Source organism: Homo sapiens, chromosome 10 (assembly GCF_000001405.40).
Source record: "Homo sapiens chromosome 10, GRCh38.p14 Primary Assembly".
NCBI lineage: Eukaryota > Metazoa > Chordata > Mammalia > Primates > Hominidae > Homo > Homo sapiens.
The window spans coordinates 110,699,981-110,715,611 of NC_000010.11; the positions used below are offsets into that span (position 1 = coordinate 110,699,981).

Here is a 15,631-nt window from a genome sequence, read left to right on the forward strand (position 1 = left end):
CCCGGGTGGACAGAGCAGGATGGCCCAAGACTTCATCAGACTACTCAGATCAGTGTGTAATTTAAAACTTACGAATTATTTATTTCTGGAATTTTCCATGTAATATTTTTGGACCACGCTTGACTGTGGGTAACTGAAAGTTTGGAAAGCGAAACTGTGGGTAAGGGGGGACTACTGTATTCCCCTCTTCCTGTTTTTCACCTCTCCCATGCCTCCCCCTAGTCCCTCCCATTTCTGTGTCTTTGTGTTTATCTGTTGAGCCTTTGGCATGAACACCAGACAAGGTTGGCTGGGTTTATAGGTGCTACATTTTTTCACTTGGGCGCTTCAGATTTAGATAATAGGATACAGAGACCTAGAGGTTTCATCCAAGTTTCAGCCTTGGGCCAGTTAGGGAGTGTGGAATTGGCAACCTTTTATGACTGTTAAGCAAAATCTTTGCAGAGGAGCTGTACCAATTAAGAAATCCTTGGCTGCCAACAGGAACCCCAACAGTGGCTTAAACCAGAGGGACATTTCTCATCTCAACATGAAACCTGGAGGCAGAGGCCTAGGTTTGGTTTGGTGGCTCAACAGGGTCTTTAGGGACCCAAAGTCTTTCCATCCCCTACCTTGCCACGTTCCATGATGTTTTTGTTCTTATGCCTATGGCCTCCTCTTCACAGGACAGTGACAGAGGCCCCAGGATTACCTACTTACATGCCAGCAACCAAAGCAGGAAATGGGATGGGCAACAAATAAAAACCCTCTTTGGGCCAGGCACGGTGGCTCACCCCTGTCATCCTAGCACTTTGGGAGGCTGAGGCGGGCGGATCACCTGAGGTCAGGAGTTCAAGACCAGTCTGGCCAACATGGTGAAAGCCTGTCTCTACTAAAATAAAAAAATTAGCCAGCCATGATAGCGGGTGCCTGTAATCCCAGCTACTTGGGAGGCTGAGACGGGAGAATCGCTTGAACCCGGGAGATGGAGGTTGCAGTGAGCCGAGTTCATGCCACTGCATTCCAGCCTGGGTGGCTGAGAAAGACTCCGTCTCAAAAAAACAAAACAAAGCAAACAAACAAACAAAAACCTCTCTTTGCTTCTGCCTTATCTGGGAGGGGAAATTTTCAGACTCATTGCAAAGGAAATGTCATTTAAATGTGAAAACTGATGCACAGAGCTGAGTCATTTTGGGATACCTGTGTGAGCCGGGGGTTCCATTTTCCTGGTGACCCTTCTCAACTCCGTTCCCAGTGGTTCTTTCTCAAAATTACAGATTGTGAAGAATTTTTTTTTTTCCTCCTAGTTTCTTCCAGCCTGGAGTTCACAGTGGGGCTTACTTCTCACCTGGTCAGCCAAAGCTTAACTGAAAATCTCCAAGAGTTCCTGTCTTTAGAAACCCATAAAGTCCGGTCCTACTCCCTGGTACTGATTCTCCTTTTTTTCTGAATGGTACTCGCATCAGCCTGGACCACGGGGAACATGCTGTTCCCATCATTTACCCCGTGTATGAGCCGGAGATTTCACTGTTAGTGTTAAGTTACAGTGCCTTGCTGGTTGGGAGCTTGCCTTTTGAAAAGTTCAGGTCCAGCCCTCCTTTGCCTTATCTTGGGAAATGACTTTCTGCTAAAATAATTTCGGTTTGTACATATGCATGTCCATGCACACACCCCAGCTCCACACCATCCAGTGGGAAAGGGAGTCAGGGATTTCATGGTAGCTGTCATTTTGATGAATGTCCCTGTGTCCACCCACAGAGGCCGTGACATTCCTGCCTTTCCCACTTGATAATCTGAAAATCTCCCAAGCCTGATTGCCTTGCTATAGGCCTGCAACCTGGAATGCTGCATAGGTTCTGAGTTTCAATCCCCAGGGTCCGCACTGGCCAGGATCTGTAAGAGCCTGTGGGCTTGATGCTGATAAGGCAGAGAGCTAACGGGGGATTATCAGAGAGGGAGAGTGCCAGACAAGGTGCATTCCTCTGGGGATAGAGCAGCAGGACTTTGGGAGCTGGGACAATTGTGTGAAGCAGGACGTGATTGCGTGGTCTTGTTTCAGCCAGCCTCAGCTATCCCCTTTTATCTGCCCCCAGAGGCACTGTGCTTTTTAGGCCTCCTCACCTTCCCTCTGAAATGTGCTCCCCAATGTGCCCACCTCTTCTTTCTGTTTTCCAGCCTCTGCTGGGCAAAAGTGGGAAGTTGCTCTCAAGTGTTAAACGTGTTCACTCTCACCAAGTGGAAGATTTTACATTAGAATTCAATCATTCTGTTTACTTCCTTTAAAGTCGAGAGCGTATCAGCTGAGTGTGGTGGCTCACACCTGTAATCCCAACATTTTGCTAGGCCTAGGTGGGAGGATCACCTGAGGGCAGGAGTTCAAAAGTGAGACCCCCCCATCTCTACCAAACAAACAAACAAACAAACAAATTTGCTGAGTGAGATGGTACACACCTGTAGTCCCAGCTAGTCTGGAGGCTGAGGCAGGAAGATTACTTGAGCCCAGGAGTTTGGGGCTGTAATGGGCTCGGATGGCGACCGTGCACTGCAGCCCGGGGCGACACAATGAGGCCCTGTCTCTAAAAAATACATAAATGAAGTTGAAAGCATGTGAAGTTTATGATTGGCTTTGTGATCGGAAGGATGTGTCATGCTTTCCCCTGGGTGTTGGGAACCTTCTGAAAGAACTGCTGTCGGAATTCAGGGTCTTCTGTGCCTGTCCACCCACTAGCCCTCATGGGCGTAATGCAGAGATCTCAGAAGGGAGAGCTCTGGATCCAGACTGCTTATGTTGGAATCATCTTCCACCCACTTACTCACTGTGTGCCCTTTGGACAGTTATTTAACCACTCTGCACCTCAGTTTCTTCATCTGTAAAATGGAAATTATGGTACATACCACATATGATTGTTAGAAGGAGTCAATGAGTTAACCTTTAAGTACTTAAAATGGTATCTGGCAATTAGTGAGCACCATGTAAGTGTTTGCTTAATAAATATTAAGAGTTTGGGGTTTGGGGTGGGTTTTTTTTCTTGTTTTTTTTTTTGTTTTTTTTTTTGGTTGGCTTAATACCTTTCTAACTGAAATTTTTGTTGAGATAATTGTAGATTCAGATGCACTTGTAGGAAATAATTTAGGCCAGGTATGGTGGCTCATGCCTGCAATAAAGCCTCACTTTGGGAGGCCAAGGCGGGTGGATCACCTGAGGTCAGGAGTTCGAGACCAGCCTGGTCAACATGGTGAAACACCATCTCTACTAAAAATACAAAAAATGAGCCAGGCATGGTGGCAGGCACCTGTAATTCCAGCTACTCGGGAGGCTGAGGCAGGACAATCGCTTGACCCCAGGAGGCGGAGGTTGCAGTGAGCTCAGATTGCGCCATTGCACTCTAGCCTGGACAACAACGGTGAAACTCTGTCTCAAAAAAAAAAAAGAAAGAAAGAAAGAAAGAATTTAGAATGTATCAGTTAAAAATAAAACTAAAAAAGGAAATAATGATGAGATTTCCCATGTACCATTTATCCAGTTCCCCCAGTGATAACAGTTTGCAAAACTGTAGAAGAGTATCACAGCCAGGATATTAACATTGTTACAATCTACCTCTCTTATTTATCTTATAAAAGATTTCCCATTTTACTTCTACTCCTTTGTATGTGTGTATATATTTAGCCCTATACAATTTTATCACACATGTAGGTTCATGTTTCCAGCACTACAGTCGAGATACTAAATAGTTCCATCACAAGGATCTCTTGCTTTGCCTTTTACAACCACATCCACCTCCCGCCCTTTGACGAAACACCTGGCAGGGACTAATCTGTTCTCCATTTCTAAAATTTTGTCGTTTTTAAAATGTTATATAAATGAAATCAGGCCAGGCATGGTGGCTCATGCCTATAATCCCAGCATTTTGGGAGGCCACGGTGGGTGGATCACTTGAGGCCAGGAGTTCGAGACCAGCCTGGCCAATATGGCGAAACACCATCTCTCCTAAAAATACAAAAATTAGCCAGTTGTGGTGGTGTGCACCTGTAGTCCCAGCTCCTCAGGAGGCTGAGGCAGGAGAATCACTTGAACCAGCAAAGTGGAGGTTGCAGTAAGCTGAGATCACACTACCACACTCCAGCCTGGGCAACAAAGCAAGACTCTGTCTCAAAAAATAAAATAAAATAAAAGCAATAATACAGTGTGTAACCTTTTGGGACAAGCCTTTCCACTCAGCATAATTTCCTGGAGATTTATCTAAGTTTTTGAGTGTATCAATGGTGCATTATTTTTCCTTGCTGAATAGTATTCCAGGGTATATATGTACCACAGTTTGTTTAACCATTCACCTATTGAAGGATATCTGGCATCTTTCCAGTTTTTGGCTATTACAAAGAAAGCTGCTATGAACATTTGTGTACAGGTTTTTGTGTGAACATAAGTTTTCATTTCTCTGGGAAAAATGCCTAAAATGCCTAAGAGTGCAATTGCTGGGTTATATGGTAATTACATGTTTAGGTTTACTACTTTAATAATTATAAAAAACACTTTGTTATTTAAATTTGTACCTCCCAACAGTAAATGGATGTTCCACTTTTTGACTTGCAGCTAACATTGTATTAGTATTTGTTAAATAAATTAAAACAGACCACTGGCTTTTACAATGTATCCAGGACTGTGTAAGAGGAAAGGGAGAGGAGGGGATTCAGATGGTTTGGTGACAGTTCTTGTCTTTAAGACATGTGTCATCTTAGCTCTGGGAATTGAGTGGCTGGAAAGAAGAGCCATTAGACTGTGTGCAGGCAAATTATAGAAGGCCTGAAACAGCCCAGAGGACAGCCATGTGGGAGGTGGGAGATGAGGACAGAGTGGAGGTTTGGAGAAGCCTTGTCAATGTTGGTGCCACCGATGGCTGAGTTTGGAAATTTTATGGTCTTTTGTATTTGACAAAAAATTGGAAATATTTGAATTTGAAGAAAAGCCATTGATTTTTCATGGAATATTATATGTTTTTGGTTAAAGGTAAGGATTATTGCAGTGATAAATCCCTTTGAAAGGGTATACTTTTCTTACAAGAAGAAAACAGAAGCATGGCCTTGCTGGAAAATGGCTGGTTTTAGTGACTCACCATTGTGAACAAAAAGTTCGATTGTTGGCCAAGTCACAGAGTGGTTTTCCCGGCCTCCAGCACGATGCTGGTTCTTTCTGTGGATTGGGTCATTTTGATGGAGTGCAGTGAAAGTTCACATAATGTGTTTGACGCCTGGAACAGATAATTTTTCACATTACTGTCCTCTATATGACAACATTATTTTCAATAAAAACCATGCAGTCAGCAATAATTTTCTTGATTTTTTTCTTCAGTTTGTAAACAATGAATGATTGAAGAAGAATGGATATAAGTTTTAAATATACTACTCAGATCCAATAAAATATTTCACATCTGAATTAGCATCTGATTTTTCATTTTTATAATCACTGTGCTATCACTGTTTATACCAAATCTGTTTTAACCAGTGAATCGATAATACTGCAGGGATTGGAGATACAAACTGTGTTGGAAATGGAATTGAAAATGAATTGATTCTAAACTAGTATGAATTTATTTTCTAAATCTGTGTGTGTAGGTGAGTCTGGATTTGCATGAGCAACTACAAATCCAAGAGTTCTCCAAATAAATTTCATGTAAATACCATGCTTATGAAAGCGTAAGTAATACACATATGCTAATTTGAAACTTACATATATATTAATCTCAACAGTGGTTGCAATAATTGTTTGGAACCTAAACCAACAAAACAATTGTTTTTGTGAAGGAGTAGCTTCTCATTGACATTGTTTAGACTACTGACGCTTGGCCGGATGCAGTGGCTCATGCTTCTAATCCCAGCACTTTGGGAGGCCAAGGTGGGTGGATCACTTGAGGTCAGGAGTTTGAGACCATCCTGGCCAACATGGTGAAACCCCCATCTCTACTAAAAATACAAAAATTGGCCGGGTGTGATGGCAGAGTCTTGTAATCCCAGCTACTTGGGAGGCTGAGGTGGGAGAATCGCTTGACCTGGGAGGTGGCGTTTGCAGTGAGCCAGAATCACACCACTGTACTCCAGCCTGGGTGACAGAGTGAGACTCCATCTCAAAAAAAAAAAGAAAAAATAAAAGAACTGCTGATGCAGATGACTTTTAGTAGTTTTATTCCTGTTGTAAAAATCTCTAGAGACAACATCCTACCTTATTGCCTGCACTGGGGTAGCAGTTTGGTTGTGTAGCTGTGTGACTTTGAGCAAGTTGCCTTCATAGCTATAGTCATCTTCCTTATCTGCAAAATGGTAAAGCTTTCTGTGGGTTAATAATATGATCCACACAAAGTGTCTGGAGTGGCATTGGCATACAATAGGTTCTTAAGAAATGTGAGTTGTCTTCACTTCTCCACCTGGAATGGGCAATATCTGTGTGTCTCTGGGACAGCCCTGGACCTTGAGGTTGGAGCTCAGCGTGACCAGTCACAGAGCTGCCTCCCTTTTCATTCTCTTTCTGATATCCGCCAGGAAATGCAACGGTTCTGTTTAAGCAGCATTCATTGAGTGACTACATTGAACTCCAAAGGAAGCTTGAATAAATTCTAGAGTTTCTTTGCTGTGTCCATGCAAGCTTGGATGGGAGAGCTATTCTGGTCTCTCTTGGGATGAAAGGGTGGGAAATTTCAGGACGGAGTGGTGGGCTGTCTGTCTGGAGGGTGAACCTCAAAACCAATGGCGATTCTCCTTGGCTTGAGGGTAAAGAGGCTCTGCAGCTGTTTCTCCTAATCAAAGAGGGTTGGTTGTAGTCAGGCCATTTACAAATCACTTTCCTTTTCTTTCTCTGTCTTGGTCTTGCCTCCTCCTCATACTGATAATTGCCAAAGAATGTGGTCCAGGCCTTTTTGTGGCTTTTGTGAGCCTTTTATAGCAGTAAGAAGGAATTCTCGGTATTCTCATCGTGTATAAAAGATCAAGCTATTCTTATGCATGACATAGCTCATGTTGAACGTGGAAAAACGCTTAAATGACCCAGGGAGGCTCTAGGATGGCTACTTTACATAGCAATTGTGTGCTGTAAAATGAACCTGTTGCATTTTAAAGGGGCTAAAGAGAATTCTTAATTTTGTACAGTTTAATCTGCCAAGTGATAAGGCTTTCTTTTCCCTTTTTAAAGGAAAATCTATTTAGTGATGGCTATAGGGAATATTGGGAAGGAAGCTCATATTTTTAATTTAAACAATTAGAAGTGTATTAGAAAATCTATCCTAGAAAAACATCTCATGTTGTAAATAAGCTCAGATGTAGATTGTTGGATATAAAATGGAGCTTAAGATTTTATTTTTGCTAACCTGATATTCCAGAGTGTATATTGTATTTTTACAATATTGGCTGCATAGCCAATTCATTTCAACTGGAAAATACATCAAAAAGCATATAAGTTAATCAAGATCAAGCTAAAATACACTTTAAAAAAATGTTTTTTCTGGTTTTATTGCCTGCCATTCTGCTGATTTATTTCCTAGAGAAAGTTAAACATTTTTAAAACACAGAATGAATGGTTTTAAAAGGCAAAGAGCATAGATCTGAAGCCTTAAAAATATTACTCAGCTATAAAAAGGAGTGAAATCCTGCCATTTGCAATAACATGAATGAAACTGGAAGACATTATTTGTGTTAAGTGAAATAAGGTAGGCACAGAAAGACAAATTTTGCATGTTTTCACTCATATGTGGGAGCTAAAAATTAAAACAACTGAACTCATAGAGAGTAAAATGATGGTTACCAGAGGCTGGGAAGAGAGGGTAGAAAGTGGGGATGGTTAATGGGTACAAAATATAGTAAGATAGAATGAATAAGACCCAGTATTGGATAGTGCCGCGGGATGACGATAGTCAACAATAACTTATTGTACATTTAAAAATAACCAGAAGAGTGGAATTGTAATGTTCCTAACACAAATAAATGACAAATGCATGAGTTACCTGATATGATTATTATATGTTGTACCTCTGTGTCAAGACACCACATGTACTCCACAAAGAGGTACACCTATTATGTACCTATAACAATAAAAAATTAAAGAAAACATATGAAGTAAACACTCGGTTATAAAAAGGTTGGATGAATGAGCATTGGCAGGGCTAGCTTCACTGGCAGGTGATCTGTGCTGTCACATAGGGCCCCATGCTTAAAGGGGCTCTGTGCTTGGGCGTGATGCTCTGGTAATCACCATTTTGAAATTCTTACTAATTTCTGAACAAGGGCCCCACATTTTCATTTTGCAGTGTGCCCTGCAAATTATGAGCTGGTCCTATATATCAGCTACCCAATAATTCAGCTCAAACTAGCTTTGGACTTTTGAATTTTAATCCTAATCTTAACTAACGTTTATCAGATTGTTTTTTTCTGTATGTGAATTTGTGAGGACCAGCGTGATGAACTTTCATGTAGATAATTTTTTTCAACTATTTTCAAAGGGCTAAGTATTAGATAAGTGGTGTTTTTAAACATTTTTATCTTGTTTCATACAGTATAAAGCTAAATCCCACTTATTTACTAGTTTCTGGTAAAATACGTAGGTTCTATATATTTTTGCTAGATAAAAACAGGTGAAATAAAACCTTATTTCTCAAATTATTAATAAAGTATTAATAGTGGCTATTGCTGAAAGCTGGGATTTCAAATGATTTTCACTTTCTAAGTTTTATAGCTCTGAGTTCAAGTTTTTACAACAAGGCGGAATTATTTTTGTATTTCAGGGGAAACAAGAAACAATAAAGAATTTTTTGAAAGTCTGTTCATTGTTTCCCATTCTGGAAGGTGGTGTTGGGGCATTGAGGATCCTGGGGTTCCTATTCCTGAGGGCAACCACAGAAAATTTAGTGAAGTTCAAGAAATGGCTTGGAATGATTGAGAGTGTGGCTGGGGTGGCAGGACTGTGGCAGAAACGTCCAGTGGGGTTTGTAAACTTAGGAATAATCTGGGCCTGGCGTCCAATTTCACGAGGCAGTGATGCAATTTTATTTTATTTTGAGTCCTTGGCTATCAATTGTAGTGTGTCTTTGTTTCTCATTTCTTTTTCTTTTTAAATGTTCTCCTCACCTCATCCCTCAATAGCAGGTCAGACGTGTTGCTGTGAGCCAAAGCTGCATGTTGCCTTTGAACCAGGACAGAGCTATCCTGATGCAGGGTCAGGTTCAATGTGAGACAAACAGCTTTGGATTCTAAACCCTTGTTGACATCTCAGCCCCGCTGTACAATGTGGCATGGCTAATGCCCTCCTGCTGCTTGTGAAATGGCCAGGATTTAAATGCTGGGATCGGGAGTCAAAGACCCAGGGGATGACCCTGGCATTTTGATGCTGGACGCTTGCCTAGGAGAGGGCAACCCCGCAGGCATGCTGGGAACACTGGAGCAGACAGCAGGCCATTCTGGGAGCAGCCCACACTGGCCAGCATTGCTGCCTGTCTGTTAGAGGGAGTGTCTGCCCTGACCCTGGGAGGAGGGACCATCTCTTACTTTTCTGTCTGTAGGCAGAAATGTTTTCACTAAAGGCCCTGGCACATCTTAAACATGATTTTAAAGATCAGTGATAATTTCTTTTTTTTTTTTTTTTTTAATTGGGATGGGATCTTGCTTTGTTGCCCAGGCTGGAGTGCAGTGTTATGATCGTAGCTCACTGCAGCCTTGAACTCCTGAGCTCAGGTGATCCTCCCTTCTCAGCCTTCTGAGTAGCTGAGACTACAGGCGTGTGCCACCATGCCTGGCTATTTTGTTTTTTTAATTTTGTAGAGATGGGGGGTCTCATTTTGTTGCCAGGCGGGTCTCAAACTCCTGGACTCAAGCAATTCTCCCACCTTGGCCTCCCAAAGTTGGGATTACAGGCATGAGCAGTGGTGCCCAGCCTCAATTATGATTTCAAAAATCATAAAGTTCAACTAAAAAAGTCAGAACCCATTAGAGATGAACAGAATGTTTGTTTTTTTAAAACCTTTGTCCCTTGGAGCCCCAGGGACTCCAAGACATGTGCCCTCCTACACGTCCTCCAGACCAGCTTTGCTCACATCAGCGTTCTGTTTTAGGCTTTCACCTAGTATTTCATATGAAGAAAGAGTTCATGTCTAAAAAGCAGTACCACTGAATTCGATCAACTTTTTTTTATCATGCTATTTGATCCTTAGTGTCCAAGGTCCCTTTAGTGCTGACGAGTGAAAACAGATACCAATAGTTGGACTATGATCATATTGGGCAGTTTCCTTTGTATTTGAGGTGGGTTTTCGCGCAACAAGCTGGTGGTCATGCTGAACTGGATATTCCGCAATAATCTGGAAATGTAGCCAAGACTGCAAATTATGATGACAATAATCAGACACTTCTGTAGCATATACTGTGTGCTCGCACTTGCCTGAGCACTTCCCATGTGATTGCTATTTAATCCTCTCAACAGCCAGGAGGTAGGCCCTGCTGCCAGCCCCATCTCATGGTGCCTCCGGTTCTCAGGTTGGAGAACAACTGAATATTGGGGCTGCCCCACTGGGCCTCCTCAGAGAGCCACTTTTCCATCTTCAGTTCTCTGCCTCCCAGTTAAACTCCCAGCCCCAGTAGGAAGGACTGAGGCGGGAGAAGGAGCTCACAGTTTGGAGAATGCAGTTTTCTTGGAGAGAAGCTGGTCCTTCCCTCCCCCTTCCCCTTTGGGGGCAAATGATGGGGCTTCCTTTTTCCAAAGTTTTCTGTGCAGATAGGGCACCCTGGCATCCAGTTTTCCAGCTAGACACGTGCGTCATCAGGAACAGCTGCCTGCCCTGGGCTCCTGGCACAGGAGAAGGAGAAGTGAGGTCAGGAACCCTTATCCCAAAGACAGGCTTCATGTGAGTCCCAGGCTCTGGACTTGTGGAGCCGGGCAGGTGACGTGAAGGCCACAGTTGGCTGGGACTGCTTTTGCTTGGGGAACCAGAAGGCTCCTACATGTGGAGGTTGTCATGAGACACACCCCTAGAAGGGAATCCGGATTTCTCCAGGGTCATCTAGAGGAGTGGTTTGGGAGGAGGCTCTTGTTACTGTCCCCCAGCCCAAGACCATGGAGGACTTGTGGGGTGCGTGTGTGATTAGACTCCAGCCGGGCGATTGTGGCCACCCCTATCCAGTGGTGCAGGAAAGAGGCCAGGAAAACCAGCCTGGCTAACATGGTGAAATCCCGTCTCTACTAAAAATACAAAAATTAGCTGGGCGTGGTGGTGGGCACCTGTAATCCCAGCTGCTCGGGAGGCTGAGATAGGAGAATTGCTTGAACCTGGGAGGCGGAGGCTGCAGTGAGCTGAGACTGTGCCACTTCACTCCAGCCTGGGAGACAGAGTGAGACTCCATCTCAAAAAAAAAAAAAAAAAAAAAAAAAAAAGAGTCCAGGAGAGGGGAGGTGTGGGAAGGACAGGCCACTGCCACCTTTACCCCAAGCTACCACCACTGCAATAGCTCTTGCCTGGCTGGGAGGAGGGGACAAAAAGAATGTGGAATCAGCTATGAGACTGAAGTTTTGAAATGAACTGAGCTGAGTCTTAGAAATCTAAATGAGACTGGATAATTGCAAGTGACTGAAAAGTCAACGGATGACTTTAAGGAAGTCCCCACTAATGGGGAAAGTCAGAGAAGGGGTTGACATTGCCCAGATGGGGTAGTTATGTAAAAAACGAAGGCATTCTATGTTTGTACTCTGTGAACTGAGACTGCCGCATAAGCCAGCCTCCTTTATCTATCAGTCTGATCCAGAAGAATTATTGATTTATTCATGCATTTATCCCACAATGCTTAGTATCATCTGCGTACAATGCTAGGTACTAGGAAAACAGGACTTCAGGGTTTTGCAAATGTGCTCTCTTCCTACCCACTAGGATTCTGAATTCCTACACAGGGATTGTATCCTTTTTTTTTCTCTGTCCCTCACCTCTGTTTATTGTTGTTACTCATTTAATATTGTAAGGTAATGTGTTGTTGATCTACAGTGGGAAAGTGCTAGCATTGTTTCAGATTCAGGAAGCTTATTCACATTAGTAATGGTAATTTCTTATTAGAATCAGTAATAGTAAGAAGTGATAAGATCCAAGTATGGAAGTAGCATTTTATTTTCTTTTTTCTCCAATTGAATTATCATATATTTTAATTAAGATCATGTTTTATATTATTTTGTGTCATTCTTCAGTAGGAAATGATGCATCAGACCAAACAAGGTGCTCAGTTACAGTTAGTTAATTGTGAGTTCATGTATGGTTTTCAGGTAAGTCATATGCCAGCTCTGGCCCTCATTTTTGTCATCCCTAAGATATTGTGTATGTTTGATTGTGTGGTTGTGTATAGCAGTAGCAATAATAGTGGTGGTATCAGTAGTAATCATTGTGAACAGAGATGATTCTTTTAAAATTAAAAGCTACTGCAATTTAATAGCTACTGCCATAGTCTGAGCATGACATGAGGAGGTTGGCTAGAATATTTCAATCTTTATTGATTGAGGCCAATAAAAACTGATCTAGAGGCTGGGTGCGGTGGCTCACCCCTGTAATCCCAGCATTTTGGGAGGCCAAGGCGGGTGGATCACTTGAGGTCAGGAGTTTGAGACCAGCCTGGCCAAAATGGTGAAACCCCATCTCTACCAAAAATACAAAAATTAGCAGGGCGTGGCAGTGCCTGCCTTTAATCCCAGCTACTCGGGAGGCTGAGGCAGGAGAATCGCTTGAACCTGGGAAGCAGAGATTGCAGTGAGCTGAGATCGCACCACTGCACTCCAGCCTGGGTGTCAGAACAAGATTCTGTGCCCTGCCCCCAAAAAACTGATCTAGAGACCCCAATAATTACCTTTCAGTTATGTCATGAGTGTGTACTTAATCACCTGGACTCCACTATATAATCTGTTTGGCATAAACTGTTTTTGCTCTTTTCTGTGATTCCCCAACACATCTATTACACCCTCTGTAGAGTATCTTAAAATGGTTGCCGTCATCCTGGGTCACCCCTAACTTTGGCGTCCATATTTGTAAAGTGTCTTTTCCTTCCTCTTTGACTGCCTCAGTTTCCCCCAGAATACCTCTTGTGATGCTTCTTTTGTTCTGTCCACTCCCTCAGTGCTTGCTCTATTCTCCCTGCTCTTTAGGGCTTTTAGTGTGAGAATCACAGAAGATAAGTCATTGACATACATACAGGCTTGACTAACGGGGCAGATGCAGAGAAGTGGATTTTTATGGAAAATATATGGAAAGAAACCTGGCCAAAGAGCCATCACTAGGATTCCAGGTCTGGCGTGGCCACAGATCTGCTGTGTGGTCCTAAACAAGTCTGCTACACAGAGTAACGTGCACTAGGCTTAGCTAGTATTATAACTGTTGCTGGTTATTAGATAATCTTTCCTGGCCTCAGTTTCCTTGCTGTTAAGTAAGGAACATGGCTTGAGTGATATCCTGAGTCCTCTCCACTCTCATTTTAGGTGCAATACGATTATAACCCTGACTAGGATAAATCACTAGGGAACAAAGATGAGGCCCTAAATCTCCTGTGTCCCTTATGACACTTTGCACGCTACAGGGGCAGAGTAGTCATTTAATAATTCAGTACTGCAACTGGGTTTTTAGGGCATTGCTGAGGAATTTTTTATTATCTAAATATATGCATTACTGGCAAATTAAAGAATAAATGGACAAATTCTACTCAGCATTTGTACAGTGTTTTGAAAGAGACTCACATTCATCAATTTAATGTCAGCCTCGCAACCATTCCCTAAAGTAGGTAGAGCACATCTGACCTCAATTTATGGATAAAGAAATGGAAGCTTAGAGAGGGGATTATTTTTTTCAGGTTTCCCAGCTAGTAAGTGGCAAGTCTGGAACCACAATCCCGGGCTCCTTATCCCTGTGCCAGTGCGTTTTCCAGCCTACTAAGGACTACGTTTTTGGGCTAGTTGGGAACAGTAAGAAATACTTCATTGTGAAGACTGATAATATTCAGATGTATTAATCCCTAGAAGATACATGGCCCAAAGGATCATCACCCAGGAATGTTATTAGAATGAAGCTTACCCATCTCCTGTGAGGACCTGGCTAAGCAGATCTGTGCCTGGAGTTACAGTCATGGCAGTGCTCCTGATTCTGAAGATGGGCTATGGGAAGAGGACTTTGGGACATGCTAAGCCTCCTGAGTAGACACTTGAGCCTTGGCATAGTTGGGATTAGGGAATGGTAGGAGACCCTCTTAAGAAAGAAAAGAGTGTTCCCTGACTCAAGAGCCTCATGAACCTGGGTCTTGCCCATGCTGGGTAGCTAGAAATGTAACCATATCTGCAGTTCTTGGAGGTCAATGAAAAGGTTGTGTAAAGGAGTATTGTTTGGCAGATGTCTCTAGTACCATTGCTGCAACAAATAAAGCTGGCTTAGCACTGGCCTGTCTGAAGCTGTGCTCTGCAGTGGTTGTAGTCATACTGAGCTGACCACCTGACCATCTAGGCTCCTAGGAACTGCTAGAAGGGCCAGACAATGAGGACCCAAGAGCTTCCAACCCAAGGTACTCCTAGAAGATCCCATTACTTGACAGCAGCAACTTCTGCTTCTAGAACTTGCTGAGAGACCTGCTGATGAGAGCAGCTGCTGTCAGCTGTCAGGAGGAGCTGCTGCCCCAAGAGAGCAGGAACAGCCTCTGGGAGCTGTGGGTGGCCCATGCCCAACAGGAGTCACCAGTAGGAGCAGCAGATAGAGTACCAGGTGAGGCAGTCCTTCCTGGTTGTCCTCAGCCCCTTAGAATTGTTGAGAAGGGGCAACATGGTCCATCTTCCAAGAAGAATCCTTCCCTAGTAGTTGACCTGGTTGGAGACCCAGCAGCTCAGGGTGGAGGCTCCAGCTGGCTTGAATTGTCTCCTGGTCTTCAAGTCACTTGTTGGAGGGGTGGCCCAGGGAAAAAGGATTGCCTTCCCAAATGATGTTGATGAAAATAATATCTGTAATCCAAAAGGTTTTTAAAATGTAATTTATTGCCTGGGAGCATTGGTTCAAGCCTGTAATCCCAGCACTTTGGGAGGTCGAGGCAGGCAGATCACGTGAGGTCAGGAGTTCGAGACCATCCTGGTCAACATGGTGAAACCCCAACTCTACTAAAAATACAAAAATTAGCTGGGCATGATGGCAGACTCCTGTAATCCCAGCTACTTGGGAGGCTGAATTGGGAGAATCGCTTGAACCAGGGAGGCAGAGGCTGCAGTGAGTCAAGATCGCACCACTGCACTCCAGCCTGTGCGACACAGTGAGACTCTGTCCAAAAACAAAAACAAACAAACAAAACAAACAAAGAAAAAACCCATAATTTGTGAATATTCGTACTTCTATACTCCATCACTCTTTACTGACTAACTCCCAAGTGGAAGTGAATGTTTCCATCTTGTGTCATCACACTGTCTGCAGCACTTTCATATCAGCCATGCATGTACTCCTTCATCAGATGTTGGTTGAGTACTGTAGATGGCTCAGGCCATCAAATGTCAGTTTTCCTTTGCTGCATTGTACTTATGTACATATCTTAGCCCTCCACTAGACTAAAGTCTTTTTTGTTAAGTCCTGATAGGTTAGGTTTATGCTGTAGCCACAAAACCCCAGAGGTTTAATACAACAAAAATTTTATTTCT

The 15,631-nt window shown here is 43.1% G+C and overlaps 1 protein-coding gene across 2 annotated transcripts in view, besides 2 other annotated features; it reads left to right on the plus strand.

The window, feature by feature from the left end:
• RBM20 (RNA binding motif protein 20) overlaps positions 1–15,631 on the plus strand; it is a 196,224-nt gene that overhangs the window by 56,736 nt on the left and 123,857 nt on the right. The gene's annotated exons all lie outside the window — the stretch shown is intronic.
• Positions 1,638–2,244: an enhancer, noted in NCBI's record as "H3K27ac hESC enhancer chr10:112461376-112461982 (GRCh37/hg19 assembly coordinates)". NCBI's record gives its function as "activates a minimal SCP1, AML or CMV promoter by ChIP-STARR-seq in naive H9 embryonic stem cells {active_cell/tissue: H9 hESC(naive)}" and the evidence as "EXISTENCE:reporter gene assay evidence [ECO:0000049][PMID:30033119]".
• Positions 9,224–9,775: an enhancer, noted in NCBI's record as "H3K27ac-H3K4me1 hESC enhancer chr10:112468962-112469513 (GRCh37/hg19 assembly coordinates)". NCBI's record gives its function as "activates a minimal SCP1, AML or CMV promoter by ChIP-STARR-seq in naive H9 embryonic stem cells {active_cell/tissue: H9 hESC(naive)}" and the evidence as "EXISTENCE:reporter gene assay evidence [ECO:0000049][PMID:30033119]".